This window comes from Homo sapiens, chromosome 2, assembly GCF_000001405.40.
Source record: "Homo sapiens chromosome 2, GRCh38.p14 Primary Assembly".
In the NCBI taxonomy this organism is placed as follows: Eukaryota; Metazoa; Chordata; class Mammalia; order Primates; family Hominidae; genus Homo; species Homo sapiens.
The window spans coordinates 224,036,534-224,057,604 of NC_000002.12; the positions used below are offsets into that span (position 1 = coordinate 224,036,534).

Here is a 21,071-nt window from a genome sequence, read left to right on the forward strand (position 1 = left end):
GTGATGGGTTGATGGGTGCAGCAAACCACCATGGCACGTGTATACCTATGTAACAAACCTGCACGTTCTGCACATGTACCCCAGAGCTTAAAGCATATTAATAAAAATTAAAAAAAAAAAAAAAAGATTGCTTGTTCAGGAAGTCACAGGCCTTGAACTTTGAGGAGACTCTGGCCAGCTTGCAAAGAGCTGAACAGGAAGGGCAGACCAGTTTAAGAAGCCTGGAGAGACGTGGTTGTCACTACAGGTGAGCTGAGGATGCAGGGACAAGGGAGGTTAAGGCATTCTTAAAATACTACTAAAAAAGAAAAAAGCTCACAGGGAGAGACTGAAGATAAAAGTAAGAAAAGGGAGTAACACTCACAAGGAGAGAGAGGCACTGGGAGTTGGGATTCAGGACACAGCTGGAGACATTAGTCACTGCCCCAAGGAGGCCATCTCTCTATATTTCTCTAAGTTCTCAGTCTAACTTGATTTTTCTTTATAATTCTACCTTATTCATTTATCATACATTTTACAACATATTATGTTTGCTTTTAGTTGGTTTTCTCCCACAAGAATGACAGTTTCAAGCGAGCAAGGATCTGCTCTATTTACCACCTATGAGTATCCAACAAAGTACCCAGACACAGTAGATGCTTAAGAAGATTTATTGGATGACTGGGTAAACACAGAAAAGTCTGTACAGGGGAGATGGGGGAGGACGTGAGGAGATACTTATGACCTCTATTCTCCTGGTAGAATGGGCTACAAAGTCACCTGCCAAACCCGCAAGAGGAAAAGCATTGGAGATCGCTTGCATTGAAGATTACAGTGGGAGTCCGGTTTGCAACCCGGAAGGAAGGAGCTTGCGGGTTGGAGGCACTAAGAGTTTTCAGAAGTTGAGCATCTCAAGAGAGGGCAAGACTTGGAGGTACTTAGAGGACTTGGTAGCTGGAGTACATGGAAGACACTGGATTTGAGACAGTCAAGGAAGTGCGCATCTAGAGCGTCCCCCACATGGACTTTAGGTCTAGAGGAGGAGAAATAGCCCAAGAGCCAAAGTCCCCATGCGATGGGAAAAGAACTGGCTGGAAGAGGACAGCAAGGCTGAGATGCACCCAGGGACGTGGCCAGGTCACCACCTCATTTCCAACTCTACCACCTCAAACAATCTCTGACTGGTATTTAATCACCCTTGTGTGGAAGTGAAAATTAGCTTTTTTTGGAGACAGTACTTTTAAAATTAAACTAATATGAAGTTCATGGGACACGGAAATTTTCTGCATAGATTCATTTTTGTTTTTAGAATAAAATACGATGACATTTTCATGACCTTCAGTAATTGCCCTGCATGGTACGATATTTTCAAACATTATTTTAACAAAGAATCAAAATTTGGGGGTTAAAAGAAACCTTAGATTACTCAGGTTAGTACCTTCATTTGCATAGCCAAAAATTTTTCTATTGAAATACTGCAAATAGCAAATAAGTACTGATTTAGACCTTCAGATAGTGTTGAAACTGTCTTCAATTTTCGAAGTGTGGTTTAGGATATACAAATTAGCAATGTTGACAATTCTTCCAGTTATCTGTGCTCAAGTTTTGATATAAAATCTTCAAAGTACACAATTATCACATATATTGTTCCACAACAATTCAGACAAATAAACGGCTTCTTGGCTTGAAAGAGGAAGTCACACCTTCGAACACCTTTTTATGCTGATGCTAAATATAAGAACGTCCCCTGCAAAGTAGCCAAAGCAAGACAGCAGCATTCGAGATTTCTCCAGAGACACACACACAAAGAATGTGTTTCGTTCATTAAAACACTAAAACCTTCAACAGCATCTTCCATAATACCTGAAGGTGGAGTGCTGTCTTATGTAATAGAAGCCTTCCTTCCCCGCTCAGTTTGTGGACACATTAAATGCCTAATTCCTTCCAGAATTTCTGAGTACCGTACTTTCATTTTACCTGCAGTCACTCATCCGCCTCGCAACTCCCGTTTCTACAGATGATGAAAATAGCAAAGACCTGCTCGCTCGGGTTAAATCGGCTGCCAGAGGCCAAGTTAAAGGCTTTCCCCACACCGCGCGTCACCTCCCTCTGCCCAGGCAGAGGTAACAAGTAAGAGTGCGCCAGTCTCTCCCCATCCGGCGGCGCGCAGCCTAAGTCCGGGGTAGGGGTTGCCGGCGAGCAGCTGGAAACCTCAGGTTCAGGGTCAGGGCCGGCTCGGATGGCCGGGCAGGAGCCACGCCGGCCCCGGTGCTCCCAGCTGCGGGTATCACTGGACGCCACCCCGGGGCGGCCCCGCCTTGCCCTGCCCGGGTCCCGCTCGGGGCTCCCGGCGGGCGGGACCGGGATGCCCGGCGAGCACCCAGCCCCGGCCAAGGCGGCCCGCGGGAGGCTGAGAAAGTTCTCTGCTCCCCGACGTCGGCGCCCCAGGGTCCCGCTGGCCCCGCAGCTTCCCGGCCGGGCGCAAGGTCAGGGAGCAGGGCCGGTGGCGCGCGGAGCCCCGGGGAGCGTCCCCCGCCGAGGGCAGCGCCGGCCGCGCCCGGGACTCACCGCGCAGCCTGTACTCACCGCGCTCGCTGGATCCCCAGGGGGCGGCCGCGGAGGGCGGTGCGGCCGCAACCGGAGCGGGAGCCTGGTCTCGGCGGCGCGGGGAGTCGGAGGACGCAGCCAAGCGGCGGCGGCGAGGAGGGTCACAGCCGGAAAGAGGCAGCGGTGGCGCCTGCAGACGCCGCGCAGCCCGGGCAGCCCCACAGCGCAAGCTGGCTGCCGCGGCGGCGGGGGCTTTATCGGCGGCGCCGCGCGGGCCCCCGCCCCTTCCTGCCGCCCCCGCCCCCGGCCCGCCTTGCCCCGCCTTCCCGCCGCCTCCTTTGTGTGGCCGCGGGCCGCAGCGTCCCCGCGCCCGGCCTCCAGGACGCCCCCTCTCCGCCTGCGACTTCTCGGATGCCGCCCCGCCAGGGGTCCGTGTCGTGGGGCTGCGCCCGGAACGCGCCGGGGAGACGCGCAGACCCCGAGGTGCGGCGCCAGCCCGGGCCCAGCTGCACGTGGGTCTCCCGGATGGGGGTGTGTGAGGTGGCGGGGGGAATACCAGGGCTCGTACCGCGTCCCTGAGACGCAGGGCATGTCGTCTTGGCTGCCCCCTGGAAGAGACAGAGGGCGCCCTGAGACAGCGCTCAGTCCTCCGGGTGATGGGGAAACGGTGCCAGGACGCGGCCGGGAAGGGGCAGATAACCCCTCGAGGCGTTTTGCAGGGTGTCCTAGAGCTGACTTCTCCCTGCCTAGGGGACAGAGGAACGGCGGCAAGTCGCCTTAGGCAAATACAGACGAGGGGAACCAGAAAACTGGATTCCCGGCTATGGTGATAGCATGAGGTACCCGCAGCGTCCTGGGAACCCAGCCCTTCTCAGCCGGTAACCACTGCTGCTGGGACCCGGTGCGCGATAGACAGGCACATACCCCAGGGGCCTGCAACAAATGACCGTCCCGCTCCGGGCTCTGTTACCTGGACCTCTCTTAGTTGGTTCCTCCTTTGCCTCTAGTTAGGTTTCTGGGGACCCAAGGACCCAACTTTAATGACAGTAATTTATGTAGCCGTTAGTGTAGAATCGTCGCTAGCAGGCAGACGGCCCCAACAGCGAGGAAGAAATGTAAATCTCCCTATACACAGCCCTGGATTAAGGGTACAGCTACTGATGAGAGCCACTTGGAAGATCAGCCTGCAGTCACCCCTTGGCATGCAGGTGGCCGTGCCAGAGTGTGCACGTGTGTGTTGGGGAAGGGGTTGCTCTGAAAAGTGTAAAATCTGGACCAGCCTAAGGGTGTTCTCAGTCTCTCATAGAGGGAAACAGGCTATGGGAGGCTTGGTCCTAAAATAAGGAGCAAACAGTCTACAAAAATGAGCATCTGTTTAATTATTTTACAGTCATACCAAATATTTATATTCAGTTACAGGGTAACTTTCTTATTCTCTGTGCCTGAAATGCTTTTTGTCCCAGGATCTTCTATGTTGTCTGCATCCTTACACTTGAGGTCACAACTCAAATGTCCTCTCCCCTAGGAAGCCTCCCCTGACCACTTGAGATAAAGTCACTTTATCCCCTCTAACCTATGACTTCCTTCATAACCCTCATCATGAATTGATTTTTTTTTTACCTTGTTTCTTGCTAGTTTTCTTCTACTCTCTCTCATTGGAATATACTCCCAGAGACCAGGGAAGAGAAACTAATTTCAATATTGTTTCCAACTCACTCTATCCCTAGTGCCTAGAGCCATACCACACATATAGCAGTTACTCAATAAATTTTGTTGACGAGTGGATGAACTACTAGCCAAGTGACTTTTAGACATGCTAAGAACTGTTTCAGTGACAGTATTGTGCTTGGTCCAGTCAGGGCGGTGTGGGCTGGAGCTGGGAACAATTCAAAGGAGGGGGGAAAGCCCACAGGTGTGAATGAGCTCGTTCAGTGTGTTTGAAAAGCTGGGAGTATCCTCTTCCAGATGGAAGGGAGTCATTCAAGAAACTACTGGAGAAATAACTGGGAAATGTGGGTGAAGCCAGATTATTATGAAAATGTGCCAGAATCCCTGCATCCATTTCTGTCTCAATCACATTTCTAAATTAAAATTTGTAATAGAGGTAATTGTAGGCTGGCATGCAGTTGTTAAGAAATGATTCAGAGAGGTCTCTTTTACACTTTGCCAAGTCTTCCTCATGGTAACATTTTGCAAAACCATTGTATAATATCACAATCAGGATATTAACATTGATACGTTGATTCCTATCTCACACACTTTGGTTAATTATGTGTAACTTTAAATTTTTACTAAAGTTACTCAAACCAGTGAGAGAAATGCACAAAATTACTATTTTGAAGAGTTTCAGTCTCTTGTCTTGAAGGAGCCAATGTTTTTCAAGAAAAAACAACAACAAGCCTTTTTTGCTTTCCCAATTAGAGTGTAAATAGGGTCCAAATTCTTCATCTATGAAAGACGTTAGAAGTCCTTAGGACTTACCTCTTTGGGTTACACTTTAATGACTGACATTTACTTCCCCATTCTTTCCTGTAGTGTCGAAGGAACATTTTGAGCAATACTGTACGTGACTTGTCAATTCTGAAATCACAGTGGATGCAGTGCTAACTAATATGCTAAAGTAAGCCTAGACACTAATGTTCCCTTCTCTCTCGCTAGACATGCGATGAGGCCAACGATGAGGTCTCCCAAAGGAAAGTGATTGAAGACAAAGACCCATTCTGCCAGTGGGATATGCTGGGAATACCAACTATACTTGTTACTGAGTGTGCATGGCTGGTGTTGGCCAGCCTTCCTGATGCCAGCAAGAGGAGACAGAAGTAATGACCCAAGCTACACTTTCCATGACACTCAAATGGCCAGGCTCTTTGACACCCACCGTGAGGGGCTGTTCCAAAGATGTTGTGTTCCTACCTCAGTTGGTCCCCACAAGCAGCAGGTTCCTCCTCCAGTATTCTCCAATATTTGACCCTTTTTGAGATGCATTTCTCATAGATGTGTACTTCCAATCCACATTTCCTTCCTACCTCTACCTCGGTTTTGTTTGAGAAATCCAAATCATTTAACACTTCTACCTGCTGTTTCTTTGTGACTTCACATTCACAGTGAAATTTCATTTTGTCCTGCAATTGTGTGGCTTGCCTTAATCCGCAAATAGAGCTTCAAATTGTTTATTCCTTTGACCTGGAGTTTAGCCAGCTCCAGCTAGGCTCTGAGTTTGGCTTTGTGTCCATAAGCCACAGTTGGGAGAAATGCAAGAACTGCCCAAACAGAATAAAACAAATGATCTATTTAGTCTTGTTTCCTCTCTTGGAAGAAGTCCAGCGTTGAGTGCCTTGGAATAAATGAAAATCCCCCACCCCACCTCCACTGCTCTCCCATGCACCCAAACAGTATGACCTTGTGTTTAAGTAAAAACCGTCCTTAGCTCCCAGTGGGATGATGGTGTTTTGTCTGGAAGACTGACGGATGTTATGATAATAAGATAATGGATACTCACTTCTCTCCTATCTAACCCCTATTTAAAAGACATTACACCGTAACAGTGCTTGTTACGCAATATTATAGTTGCAAATGTTGTTATGGAAGATTGTTTCAACCAGGGGAAAAGAGACTGGTAATAACAGTACACTTATACAATTAGTTTCTGAAACTGTTGCATTGCTTTGGGGTTTTTTTTTTTAGCTTAGAAAAGACATTTATCTTTTTATTTCCCTTTAAAGTTGGCTTTCAAATAAATTCAATTTCCTCTTTCTGTAACTTCTGAAACAGATTAAACCAGAGCATCAGTTTGCACTTTGCTATTGTCGTCACTAGTTTTCACCAAGAGCTTCAGAGAAAAGACATTACTAAGTGCTGGGCTGGGTATTATTTTCTACTTATATGTGACCAAATAGGATGTAACAGCCAGGTTCTGAGAGTCGTTGTGATACTGACCCCTTCAAACAACAGCCCAGCTGCTCTCCTTCCTTTTACCACCAAACAATAGATGCTGCCTCCCTTTTTCCATGGGTCTCTTCGGTCAATCTTCTTACCCCATCATCGGGCTCCCCTCCTTTTCTTCCTCGCTTCCTCGGGCCCTCCTTCTCTCCCAAATGTTACCAATAGCTTCCAATGGCAACCCCAGTAGTTTTTCAACATTCTTTATCACCTTTGAGTCCTTGGCAGGATTTCACTCTCATATGTGTGCCCATTTTTTGGAAACTCCTTTGCCTATTTTCTCTCTTCCTATGCCTTAACTTGCCTTTATCCTTTTTCCATCAAATCTTCCAACAGGTGGGCACCATGCAGTTGACTGTCCTCAGCTCCCTCCTCTTTTCTCCACACTCTCTCCCAGTGGAACGAACATTGATTTATCTGTGGCCACCAACACTTGTTCCCCTCCTCACCTTTTGATAGTGGAAACACCTCTTCTATTTTATGCAGCATTTTGTTGGGAAGGAAATCAAGGTATCCTTACTTTCACTAGCCAAGGGATGGGCATATGACCAAGCTCACTGGATTCCCTCCCAGTTCTTTGAATCTTGAAAAGAATGAAAAAGTAATTGCAGCTGACTTATCTCAGCTTGATGAATGATGAATTTGTGAGTTCTTCCTACCCGGACCTCAGAGCTGCCATAGACCCTGTCCCGTCTGAGCAGAGGTCCACAGTGAACTCTGTTTCTGTGAGACTTTTCTACTTGTTAGCCAGATTCAGTTTCTGTTGCCAGCAACCTAGGATGCCTAACTGACATACCTTAAATGTCTGTAACTTTGCTTAGTTCTGGATGAATTCTAAGCCCATATCTACAGATGGCCTTGGCCACCATCCCAAGGTACCACTCATCTATCTCCAAGTGCCTGGCAGACACCTCCACTTAATATCCCACCATCACCTCCCACCTAACAAGTCAAACCCACTTATTATCTTCATCCCCCAACCAGTTCTTCCTCCTGTGTTCCATGTGTTTTACAGACATGACTTCCATCTCAGTCACCAAAGCACAAAGATGGGAATGAATTCTTTCTTTCTTTCTTCTTTCCTTCCTTCCTTCCTTCCTTCCTTCCTTTTTCTTTCTTTCCCTCTTTCTTTTCTTTCTTTCTTTCTTTCTTTCTTTCTTTCTTTCTTTCTTTCTTTCTTTCTTTCTTTCTTTCTCTTTCTTTCTTTTTCCCTCCTTCCTTCCTTCCTTTCTTTTTGAGACAGAGTGTCACTCTTGTCACCCAGGCTGGAGTGCAGTGGCATGATCTCAGCTCACTGCAACCTCTGCCTCCCGGATTCAAGTGATTCTCCTTCCTCAGCCTCCCAAGTAGCTGGGATTACAGGCGTGCACCACCATGCCTGGCTACTTTTTTGTATTTTTAGTAGAGAGGGGGTTTCACCATGTTGGCCAGACTGGTCTCGAACTCCTGACCTCAGGCAATCCACCTGCCTCAGCCTCCCAAAGTGCTGGGATTACAGGTGTGAGCCACCGCACCCAGCCCCTTTTCTTTTTTTTATTCATCCCATTTCCAGCAATTCCTTAGGTGCTGTTAGTAGTTTTTAAATTTTTTCCCCCAAGTCCCTCTGAGTCACCCCTCTTCCATTTTTTCAAGTCAGTTCAAACTCTTACCACTCCAATAGCACCCTAACTATTCTCTCAGCTTCCAGATTCTATCTGTAACTGCCAGCTTAGTCTTTCTAAAGTGCTTTTTCGGTCATGCCACTCCCCAGCTTAAAATAATTCCACTGTTCATCACGAAGGTTCCGATTCCTTGGTTTAGTCAGTCTTCTGTAGAGGTTATGAACACAGGCTCTGAAGTTAGATTGCCTGTGTTCAAATCCCAGTCTCATCACTACGCAATTTTTTTCAAGTAATTTAACCTGTGAGCCTCAGTGTCCATTTTGTAAAATGGGGGATAATAATAGAATAACCCACTCATAGGGCTATGTGAGGATTGTGTAGTTAATTCATGAAAAGAACTGAGTATTTGACACATAAATGCTTAATAAAAATTTACTACAATGAAAGCTCTCTACAATTTAACCCCAACCCACCTTTCTTGCATTATCTTTTCATTTTCTCTATGTTCTTAAAGGCTTTCCCAATCAGAATTACTCACCTATATCAAAATTGTATTTTTTATGTCATCATGCCATTGTTTAAACCATTCTCTCTGACCTGAATACCCTTTTCTTACTCCACCTGTATCAGTTATCTAGTGTTGCATTACAAACTATCTTTTTTTTTTTTTTTTTTGAGACAGAGTTTCTCTCTTGTTACCCAGGCTGGAGTGCAATGGTGTGATCTCAGCTCACTGCAACCTCCACATCCCAGGTTCAAGCGATTCTCCTGCCTCAGCCTCCTGCTTAGCTGGGATTACAGGCGCCTAACACCACCCCAGCTAATTTTCATATTTTTAGTAGAGACATGGTTTTGCCATGTTGGCCAGGCTGGTCTCAAACTCCTGACCTCAGGTGATCTGCCTGCCTCAGCCTCCCAAAGTGCTGGGATTATAGGCATGAGCCACCACGCCCGGCCCTACTATCCCAAATTTTAATGGCTTAAAATAACAACCATTTTATTTGTTTGTGATGGTATGGGTTGGATGGGCATGGTTTGGCTGGGATGGTTCACTCTGCTCCACCTCCTGTTGTCTGACCTCACTCTTGCAGCCGTAGGACTCCAGGTGGCCTCACTCATGCATGTGGACTCTCAGAGAGAAGGGCTGGAACCCTCAGTCTTCTCTCTCTAGTTTTTCATCTTCACGGGCCTTTTTCACCTTGTTATATTTCAAGCTCTAAGGCTTTCCTACATGGTTTTTCCAGCAGTAGTCAGGCTTTATAGGATGGCTGAGGACTTCAAGGTGGGGAAAACAGAAGCCTCAAGTTCTATGAAGGATTAGCCTTGGATCTGGCACAATACCACTTCTGCGGTCACAATTCAGAGCAGGTCACAGGGCTATCTCAGATTCAAGAAGTGGACTCTACCTCTTGATGAGAGGTGTATTAGACAGCATAGGCTGTCATAACTAGATACTACAGACTGGGTAACTTAAACAATAGATGTTTATTTTCTCACAGTTTTGTAGGCTGGAGATCAAGGTGCCAGCAGAGTTGGTACCCGGTGAGGCCTCTCTTCCTGGCTTGCAGATGGCTACCTTCTCACTGTGGCCTCACTTTTTTATTTTTTTTAATATATGTATATATATATAGAGAGAGATCTGCTACTGTCTTTTCTTTTCTTTTCTTTCTTTCTTTCTTTTTTTTTTTTTTTTTGAGATGGAGTCTCACTCTGTCACCCAGGCTGGAGTGCAGCGGTGCAATCTCAGCTCACTGCAACTTCCACCTCCCAGGATCAAGCAATTCTCCTGTCTCAGCCTCCTGAGTAGCTGGGACTACAGGCTTGTGCCACTAGGCCTGGCTAACTTTTGTATTTTTAGTAGAGATGGGATTTCACCATGTTGGCCAGGCTGGTCTCAAACTCCGGACCTCAGGTGATCCACTCACCTCGGTCTCCCAAAGTGCTGGGATTACAGGTGTGAACCATGGAGCTCAGCCTCTGCTGTCTCTTTCCCTTCTTACAAGAACACCAGTCATATTGGATTAGGGCCCCGCCCTTATGTTCTCATTTAACCTTAATTACTTCCTTAAAGACCCTATCTTCAAATACAGTCACATTAGGGTGTTGGGGTGTCAACATATGAATTTGGTGGGGACACAATTTAGTCCATAATAAGAGGAGCAGTGAAATCCATTTCAAAAAGGCATGCGGGAGGAGAGGGATTACTTTGGCCATTTTTGGACATAATCTGCCACCACTCTTTGCCACTGAAATCATTTTCATCCTTCACAGTTTTCCCTTCTCAGCCTAGCCAGTGTCGATTTCCCCTTACTCCCTGCTCTTGTGGCTCTGAGTATGGGCTGCATATTCCACACAACCACATCCGGCCTTGGATGTAAGCATTTGGTTTAGGTTCCAACCTCAGGGCAATGGGCCATGTCTTGTATATTTTTATGTTTTCACACAGTGCCTTGCACAGAGAAGTCCATAATAAATATTTGTGGAATGAACAAAAAATGCAATTAATTTTACTATTCTAATTGTTGCCTGGGCAGTTTGCAAGCTTCTGTTCCTCCTTATATGTCCCACGTTCCCTACCTCTTCCAACTCTTAGAGCATTGCATGATGGGAACATCTCAGAAAACGGAACACTGGGAGCCAGAAAACCCGGGTTTTTGTCCAGTTTCTACCACCTCTTAATTGTGATCTTGGGCAAGTCATTTGAATTCTCTGGGGCTCAGTTTCCTCATGTCTAAAAAAAAATAATAAAGGAAGAGTAATTGAATATCTACTATAGGGCTATTGAGAGAATATAAGATAGGTGAAGTACTTTGTAAAGTCTAAAAACCTTCACAGATTATTACTATTATTAATTCTGAAGCACACATTTGATCTCAGTTCCTTGCTGGCTCTGCCTTATGCAAACTGCTGTCGTCTAAATGTTTGTGTACCCTCAACATTCCTGTGTTGAAACTTAGTCACCAATGGGTGGCACTGGGGGTGATTAAGTCATGAGGACAGGGTCTTCATGATTGGGATTAGGGCCCTTATAAAAGAGACCCAAGAGAGATCCTTACTCCTCCTGCCATGTGAGGACACAGCAAGAAGACTGTTCTCTTGGAAGCAGGAAACAGGCCCTCACCAGGCACTGGATCTGCTGGTGCCTGGATCTTGAACTTCCCAGCTTCCAGAACTGTGAGAAATAAATTCGTGTTATTTATAAGCCACTCAGTCTAAGGTATTTTGTTATAGCAGCCCAAGCAAACTGAGACACTTCCTATAGTGTCTGGCTCATTGTATGTTGCCCAGGTTGGTCTCGAACTCCTGGGATCAAGCGATCTTCCTGCCTCAGCCTCTCAAAGTATTGGGATTACAGGTGTGAGCCACCATGCCCAGCCTGACATATTTTAATAAGATCCCCAGTGAAGTCATATGAACGTGAAAGTTTAAAAAACTGATTTAACTTGCTTATCTAATGTCTAAGGCAGCTGGGGTCCAAGAACCCGAATGACTTGCCCAAGGTTGCGTAGGTAAATGAGCAGCCCGTGAAACACTGGGTAAGAGCCTGTGCTTAGAATTATATATAGGCCACTGCAGGAATCCAGGCTCTCCTCTTCGCCAGCCTAAAATCTTGGTAATTCCCTGAATACCTCTAAAGCTCAAATTACTTTCTGTTAAAGGAGTAGCAATGCTACTTCAGAGGCTCATTGAGAAGTTAAAATGAAAAGTAGGTAGAAAGCACCTAGAAAGCTCTCAATAATCAGTCGTTAGAATCATTATTCTAACTTAGATGTCCACATTCTGTGCTGCCTCATAAGCATCCCATGTTGCATAGAAGAAATGGGAATAGTGCGTTTAGATACATTTGGTCTTTCTGAGACTAATGTTATATCTAATTTAGATTTTATGGTTTGTAAGAATGAGGAAAAGGAAGAGGGCTTCCAGAGGAAAGTGAACAGAAAGCTGTACAGCTGTGAGATTGCAGATATTTGCTTGCCTGACTCTTTCTGGCTTGGCTTGTCCATGATGACCTGCAGAACCAACCAACCACTGGAGGAATGTCCAGGTGGGTGAGGCTTTTGCCCACACTTCGCCCCACAGCTTTCTGGGGCTTCTCCCCACCTTCTTTCCTCTCACCTCTGAGTGCTTCCCTTCCTTTACCCCCTGCAGTGTTCTCATGCAGGCTTCTCACAGCCTCCCAAAGTGGGGCTCTACCTCTTCCTGTCTCCTGGGAAACCCCGCAAATTCTGGACCTTTCTTCCACATATAAGAGTCACCTGTGCCAGGCATGGTGCCTCACACTCGTAATCTCAGCACTTTGGGAGGCCAAGACAGGAGGATAGTTTGAGCCCAGGAGTTTGAGACCAGCCTTGGCAATATAGTGAGACTCCTATCTTTTCAAAAAATCAAAAAAATTAGTCGGTTGTGCTGGCACGAGCCTGTGGTCCCAGCAACACAGGTGGAGGCTGAAGCAGGAGGATCACTTGCACCGAAGAGGTGAAGGCTACAGTGAGCTGTGTTTGTGCCATGGAGCCCATGCAACAGAGTGAGACCCTGTCTCAAAAAAAAAAAAAAAAAAAGTCACCTGCCCCTTGCCTCATTTTACAGGACTGGCCAGCTAATCAATTTTAACACTGGCTTTACTTCCTTTTGAATAATATTTGCATTTTTCTGTGATGGAGTATTTTTTTCCTTTTATTCTTAGGTGACTCGTAATAATTGTACTTATTTATGGGGTGCAGCGTGATATTTTGATACATGTATTAATGTGTAATAATCAAATCAGGGTAATTAGCACATCCATCATCTCAAAGATTGATTATTTCTTGATTATTTCTTTGTGTTTGGAACATTCAAAATCCTCTCTTGCAGCTTACTGAAAATATGCAATAAATTACCATTAACTGTGTTCATCCTCCAGCACTATAGAGAACCAGAACTCATTTCTCCTGTCTGGCTGTAATTTTGTATTCATTAACCAACCTCTCCCTAGCCACCTTCTCCTTCCCCTCCCTGCCTCTAGTAACCACTATTCTACTCTCTCCTTCTGTGAGCTCAGCATGTTTCAGCTCCCATATACAAATGAGAACATGAGTGTATACATCTTTCTGTGCCTAACGTATTTCACATAACATAATTTTCCTCCAGTCTCATCCTTGTTGCCACTAATGACAGGCTTTCATTCTTTTTTATGGCTGAGTTGTATTCCATTGTGTATATGTACCACATTTTCTTTATCCATTCATCTGTTAATGGACATTTAGGATGAGTCTATCTCAGCTATTGTGAATAGTACCGCAATAAATTTAAACATGCAGATATCTCTTCCGTATACTGATTTTCTTCTCTTTAAATAAATACCCAGTAGTGGGATTGCTGGATTATATGGTAGTTCTATTTTTAGTTTTTTGAGAAATCTCCATACTATTTTCCATAATGGTTGTATTAATTTGCATTCCCACCAACAGTGTATAAGGGTTCTCTTTTCTGCACCTTGTCACCAGTGTTTATTTTTTGTGTCATTTTGACCATAGACATTCTAACTGTGGTGAGAAGATATCTCACTGTGATCTTGATTCGCATTTCCCCGATGGTTAGTGATGTTGAGCATTTTTAATACATTTGTTGGCCATTTATTTTTTTTTTTTTAGAAATATCCATCAGATCCTTTGCCCATTTTCTAATTGGATTAGGTATTTTGCTGTTGAGTTATTTGAGTTCTTTGTCTATTCTGGATATTAGTTCCTTGTCAGATGTATAGTTTGCAAATGTTTTCTACCATTCTACAAGTTGTCTCTTCACTTTGTTGATTGTTTCCTTTGCTATGTGGAACCTTTTTAGTTTGATTTAGTCCTATTTGTCTATTTTTATTTTTGTTGCCTGTGGCTTTGAAGTCTTAGCCATAAAATCTTTGTCTAGACCAATGCCCTGAAGCATTTTCTCTATGTTTTCTTTTAGTAGTTTAAAAGTTTTGGGTCTTACATTTCAGTCCTTAATCCATTTTGAGTTGATCTTTATACATATATGGTGAGTGATAGGGGACTAATTTCATTCTTCTGCATATGGATATCCAGTTTTCCCAGCATCATTTATTGAAGAGACTATCCTTCCCCAATGTATGCTCTTGGAGACTTTGTAAAAAAATCAGTTAGTTGTAAATAAACAGATTTATTTCTGGGTTCTCTATTCTGTTCTATTGGTCTATGTGTCTGTTTTTAATACCAATACGATGCTGTTTTGGTTAATAGTATAACTAACTTTCTAGTGTAATTTGAAGTCGGGTAGTGCGATGTCTTCAGTTTTGTTCTTTTTGCTCAGGATTGCTTTGACTATTTGAGCTTTTTGTGGTTCCATGCAAGTTTTAGGATTGTTTTCTCTATCTCTGTAAAGAATGTCATTAGTATTAAGAAAGGAATTGCATTGAATCTGTAGATCGCTGTGGGCAGTATGGTCATTTCAAAATATTAATTCTTCTAATCCATGATCATGAGATGTCTTTCCATTTTTTTTTCTGCTTTATTCAATTTCCTTCATCAGTGTTTTTTCATTTGTTTGTTTTCATTGTAGAGATCTTTCACCTCCTTGGTTAAAATATGTACGTTTCAATGACAGCTTTTCTTATCTCAGACCCCCAAAGAGTGAGTAATGTATCATTCAGTGGTACAGATGTGTTTGAGTGGAATGACAATGGGAATCTTTTAGCACTCCTCAAATCCTGTGACTGTGAGCAGCAGCCAGCACCGTCTTCCATCAAAATGGTTTCTAGAGACCCACACTCTATCTATTCCTCTCCCTACCTTTTTTTCCTTTTTCTCTCCCTCTCTCTCATTTTGCAAACCATTTGACATTATAAGGTTAAGAACACAGACTTTGGAGTCAGACTTTCTGGGTTCAAATCCACACTCTGTCATTGACTCTCTCTGTAATGTAGATAAGTTGCTTAACCTCCCCAGGCCTTAGTTTCCTTAACTGTAAAATGGGGTCAAGAACAGTAGCTACTTTATCGGGTTGTTATGAAGTGGAAAGGCATGCATATTTGCTAAGTGTTTGAAGAGTGCCTGGTGCAGAATAAGTGATGTGTGAGTGGTTGCTACTGTGAGCTTAGGGCCCAGAGATGAATGACCCAATTCCTATATATGGATTTATCTTTTATTCCTCCTTTGACTACAGGGATATATATGGAAATCTGAGCAAAGGGAAAATAAAGGGAAGATAGTGACATGAAGCTAGGAATGAGGATGGTACACAGGTATGTGTCTGAAGTCCTAAAACTCCTGGAGGTGGGTTGCAGATTTGTCTCTAATGATGGCGTTATACTAAAGCACAATCAGAAAATGCTGTAATGGAGAGAGTGGAGGCAGAGTAGCAGTATTATTTATTTCATGCACCTAGGCAACCAACCCCACTGATATGGTTGCCTAATCCAAGAATAGATTTTTTAGAGTAGTGGTTCTGAACCTATTTTTTTTTAACTAAACTTTTGAGAAAATAAACCTTTTTACTTTGAGGTAATTTTACGTGAACAGAAATGTTGTAAAGATAATATGGGGAATCTCTCTTATACTTGTCACAGCTTGGAAATTAACACTGGCACCTTATCACTAGCTAAACTCCAGCTTTTATTTGGATTTCAACAGTTTTTTCCCTCTAATGTCCTCTTCTGTTCCAGAGTTCCATGAAGAATACCCATTTAGTCGTTATGTCTCCTTAGTCTCCTCTGGTCTGTGACAGTTTCTCATTCTAGTTTTTCATGACCTTGACAGTTCTGAGGTGTACTGGTCAAGTGTTTTGCATAATATCCCTTAATGTATGTTTGTTTGATGTTTTCTCATGATTCGATTGGGGTTATGGGTCCTGGGGAAGGCTACCAGACAGGTGAAGTGTCCTCATCATGTCATATCAAGGGCACATGATATCAATACGACTCATCAGCGGTGGAGTTAACCTTAATCAATTTGGTTGAGGTAGTGTTTGCCATGTTTCTCTACTGTAAAGTTACTGTTTTTCCCTTTTCCATATTCTACTCTTTGGTTGCACGTCACTAAGTCCAGCTCACACACAGGGAAGTTTAGTTCTGCCTTCTGGAGGTGGGAATATCTACTGTCTACTTATATTAAATGGAATTCTTCTGTAGGAAAGATTTGTATCCTCTCCCCTATTCATTTATTTAATTCAATTATATATTTATATAAATGTGGGCTCATTTATGTTTATTTTATATTATGGGTTATAATAGAATACCACACTATTCATTTTGTTGCTCAGATTTTTCCAGCATTGGCCACTGGAAGCTCTTCTTGTGTCCCTTTGATATGCCCTCATTCTTTGTCTTTTTTTTTTTAAGTTAAATGTTGTGAATCCATTAACTTTTACAGAATATTCTTTTGTGTTTTGACCACTTTTTGCTTTCTGGAACTACAAGATGTTCCAGGCTTAGCTTGTATTTTCTCCACTTTAGCCCTAGAATTAGACATTTCTCCAAGGAGCCCGGGCTACTTTTGTTGAAGAAAAATAATTTAGAAACCAAGATCGGCCAGGCGCGGTGGCTCAAGCCTGTAATCCCAGCACTTTGGGAGGCCGAGGCGGGCGGATCACCAGGTCAGGAGATCGAGACCATCCTGGCTAACACGGTGAAACCCCGTCTCTATTAAAAATACAAAAAATTAGCCGGGCATGGTGGGGGGTGGCTGTAGTCCCAGCTACTTGGGAGGCTGAGGCAGGAGAATGGTGTGAACCCAGGAGACGGAGCTTGCAGTGAGCTGTGATCACGCCACTGTACTCCAGCCTGGGCAAAAGAGCGAGACTCTGTCTCAAAAAAAAAAAAAAAAGAAAAAAGAAAAAAAAGAAACCAAGATCTGGGTCCTATGTGTGTTTGCTGCCACTGAGGCATGGCACACTTTTGAATGTTAAAGTTTTGGTGCACACGTCATGAGCATAGGTATGAAATAATCCACTTGGTCCCTCTTTATCCCTATGTCTCCATAGTTCTGAATGCTTACTCTGATTTACTCATGCAAAAAGGTTTTTATGTGTGTCAGTACGTATAGCTTGGTAATATTTTATGCTTCCTGCCTCTTAGTCATGAAAAAGTGCCAGACCACATCAAGACAATTAGCTCAATATAGCATTCTAGCTGATACCTTTTAACACATCAAGATGGGTATCCACATAATAAATTATATACTCAGATAAAAATCTGGCAATACAATCGTGGAAGGCTTATTTTATTCTATAATACTGATTATAGCAGTGTATAGGAGATAGGGTTGTTAATCTGTAAATACCATCACATTTTCTGCTTGCAGAATCTGGATTTTGTTAAGGCATTTATCCATCTATCCTTCTGCTAATTGCCTTAAAAGAAAATCCTGGTTAATCTTGACCAATCATGATAATTTCATTCTCTTTGCCAAATGTTTGGCTTAGGGGTGGAAATGTGACCTAATTTTAGCCAATTATGTATACGATGGTTAATTGATGGGAGAGCTTCTGAGAAAGGTTGTGTTGAGTATTAAAAAAAAATTCAGGCAAAAAGGAGATCCATACTTCAATCTGATGCCCAGGACCACAACAGCCAACTTGTGACCATGAGAGGAACTCAGGCAACATACTAAGGGTGGAAGAGACAAAAGATAGAAAGATTCTGCATCTTTGATGATGTCACTGAGCTGCTGAATTCACCAACCCAGGAGGCCTCCTACCCCAGTCCCCCTTGTCAGATAAGATAAATATTCCTTTTTGTCTTGGAAATTTTGAGTTATTATTTCCTTTACTTGCAGCCAAAAGCATCTTAATGAACACACACTACTTTAAACTATTTTAAGGCAGTCATTAAATATTTTTAGATCCTAGGCTCTTTCCAGGATTCATTCATTCATTGATTTTTAACAAATATTTACTCAAATATGGGAGTAAGACAGAGACATTGATCAAATAATCACACGTACATATAATGACAAAGTATGATCAGTAAGAAGAACAAAAAATATAAGAAACTTTATGAGAACAACTGAAGGATAGAATTTAGCTTGAGAAGAGGCCCTGTTAAGGTAAGACTTCACTTCATAAGCAATGAATGAACTGACATCAGAAAGTGAAGGGCGGAGGAGGAAAGTGTCCTTGCAATAGTGTGGGGCAGCAGCATGTGCAAAGCTTCCATGTGGGAAGCAGTGTGGTGCCCTGGAGGAACCTGAAGAAGATCTATGGGACAGGAGGAGAAAGACAGAGAGAGGAGTGGCACATCTAACACTGAAGAGGTCCAGATGACCTAGGATAGACCCTGGAGACCATAGTAAGGATTCTTCTCTCTGTCCTAGAAGAAAAAAGAAATACAGCGAAGTGCTCTAATCTGGGAAAGATAGGATTATACGATCTAATCAGTTCCCTCTGGGTACCTTAAGACTCAGTCTTGCCATAATATTGCATTCAAATGCAAAACACTATCATTTGATAGAGAAATGCAATCAAAGATAGTTCTTATTATTTGTGCCTTTTAAAGGGTATCGTAGGCAGAGAGTATTAGAACTTGCATTAGTCCGTTTTCACACTGCTGATAAAGACATACACGAGACTGGGTAATTTATACAGAAAAAGAGGTTTAATGGGCACACAATTCCATGTGGCTGAAGAGGCCTCACAATCATGGTGGCAGATGAGAGAATGAGAGCCAAGTGAAAGGGGAAACCCCTTACGAAATCATCAGATTTTCTGAGGCTTATTCACTACCATGAGAACAGTATGGGGGAAGCCATCCCCATGATTCAATTATGTTCCACCTAGTCCCTCCCACAACACTTGGGAATTATGGGAGCTACAATTCAAGATGAGATTTGGGTAGGGACACAGCCAAACCATATCAAAGCTCACCCAATATCTATGTGCTCCTCTACATTGTCCAGCTTTCCTTGCAGTTTGGTTGAGATCATGGGACTGGGTTCTGATGGCAATGATGTAAGCTATTTCCAGGTCTCTTTCTTAAAAACATTCTGTATAACGCTGTGGCCCTTGCTTCATCAGCCACAGTGATGTTGGAGGCCACCTTTCCAAGTGGCATAGCTTCAAGGTGTAAGATGGCTGCTCATCTGCAACAGACTTCAATGAATCAGAAATAAAACCCCCCTTTTAAGGCCCCGAGTTTTCACTGTGTTTGTCACTGCAGCATAACATGACTATACTAGCTTCCCAAGGCTGCTGTAACAAATTACCACAAACTGGGTGGCAACAGAAATTTACAGTCATGTATCACTTAACAATGAGAATACATTCTGAAAAATGCATTATTAGGTGATTTCATTGTGCAGACATCACAGTGTGCTTACACAAACTTGGATGGTATAGCTTATTAGGCACCTAGGCTATGTGGCATAGCCTGTTACTCCTAGGATATGAACCTGTACAGCATATCACTACACTGAATACTATAGACAATTGTAACACAATGGTAAGTATTTGTGTATCTAACTATATCTAAACACAGAAAAAGTACACTAACATATGGTATAAAAGATTTAAAAACAACACACCTGTATGGGGCACTTACCACAAATGGAGCTTGCAGGACTGGAAGTTGCTCTGGGTGAGTCACTAAGTGGCAAATGAATATGATGGCCTTTAGGACACAACTGTACACGACTGTAGATTTTATTGGTACCATTTAGACACACCACTTCACCTAACATTCACATCTTTGGGATGTGAGAAGAAACTGGGGTACCCGGAGAAAACCCATGCAGACGTGGGGCGAATGTGAGAACTCCTCACAGACAGTGGCCTGAGCTGGGAATAGACTTTATTTTTTTCTCATCAATGTTATAACAAAATGACTTTGAACAAAACGATGTTATTTGAGGATGTGCTATACACTTAGGCTACACAAAATTTATTTTAAAATAAAATGATTGGGCTATGATGTATGATGGCTATGACATCACTAGGTGATAGGAGTTTTTCAGTTCCATTTTAATCTTATAGGATTTCTGTCATATATGTGGTCTGTTGTTGACCTAAAAGTCATTATACAGTCCATGACTATGTTCTCTCACAGTTCTGGAGGCTAGGAGTCTGAAATCAAGGCATCACTGGGGCCATGATCCCTCTGAAGGGTGGAAGGAAGAATCCTTCCCTCCTTCTTCCAAGCTTCTAGCAGTTATTGGCAATCCTTGATATTCCTTAACTTGTAGCTTCTTTACTTCAATCTTTGCCTCCATGTTTACAAGCCTTTCTCTGTGTATGTCTTTGTGCTCAGATGGCCTTATAAGGACACTAGTATTGGTGTCTTAGTCCACTTTGTGTTGCTATAAAGGAATACCTGAGGCTGGGTACTTTATAAAGAAAAATGGTTTATTTGGTTCATGATTCTGATGGCCGGAAAGTTCAAGATTGGGCATCTACATCTGGTGAGGGCCTCAGGCTGCTTCCATTAGTGGCCAAAGGCAGAAAGGAACCCAACATGTGCAGAGATCATCTGGTGAAAGAGGAAGCAAGAGAGAGGAGTGAGGTGCCAAGTTCTTTGTTAATAACCAGTCCTCTCAGGAACTTGTAGAGTGAGAACTCATTCATCCCCTAGGGAGGACACTAATCTATTCATGAGGAATCCACCCCCATGACCCAAACACCTCCCATTAGGCCCCATCTCCAACACTGGGGATCAAATTTCAACATGAGATTTGGAGGGGACAAATATCCAAACCATAACAATTGGATTAAGGGCCCACCCTAATCCAGTATGACTTTATCTTCACTTAAGTGATTACATCTGCAAAGACTCTATTTCCAAATAAGACCACATTCTGAAGTTCTAGCTGGACATGCATTCCAGAGAGGGCACTATTCTACCTGCTACAATGATGAATACAAGATATAACAGCAGTCCCCAACCTTTTTGGCATCAGGGACCTGTTTTGTGGAATAAATTTTTCCAAGGAGTGGAGAGGAGGAGAATGGTCTTGGGATGAAACTTCCACCTCAGGTCATCAGGCATGATGATCTTAGAGCTTAGATTCTCATAAAGAGCTCACAGCCTAGATC

General features: G+C 43.4%; 1 protein-coding gene and 1 long non-coding RNA gene across 5 annotated transcripts in view, besides 1 other annotated feature; one reads left to right on the top strand and one right to left on the bottom strand.

The window, feature by feature from the left end:
* The window catches only part of SERPINE2 (serpin family E member 2), a 64,242-nt gene extending 61,489 nt beyond the window's left edge, over nucleotides 1-2,753 (bottom strand). For 2 of the 4 annotated variants that reach the window (NM_001136528.2, NM_006216.4), the window contains exon 1: nucleotides 2,566-2,753. Coding sequence is in view for 2 of the 4 variants with exons in the window: in XM_005246641.3 (XP_005246698.1) it covers nucleotides 1,957-1,970 (14 nt within the window). In the remaining 2 variants the exon portion in view is untranslated. 4 annotated transcript variants of the gene reach the window in all.
* On the top strand, nucleotides 2,869-5,959 carry LOC124907991 (uncharacterized). The gene is made up of 2 exons (XR_007088103.1): nucleotides 2,869-3,009; nucleotides 5,185-5,959. It is a non-coding gene; the product is annotated as an uncharacterized LOC124907991 (long non-coding RNA).
* Nucleotides 2,919-3,213: a silencer, noted in NCBI's record as "tiled region #13948; K562 Repressive non-DNase unmatched - State 13:Ctcf". NCBI's record gives its function as "represses a minimal TATA promoter and a strong SV40 promoter by Sharpr-MPRA in K562 cells {active_cell/tissue: K562}" and the evidence as "EXISTENCE:reporter gene assay evidence [ECO:0000049][PMID:27701403]".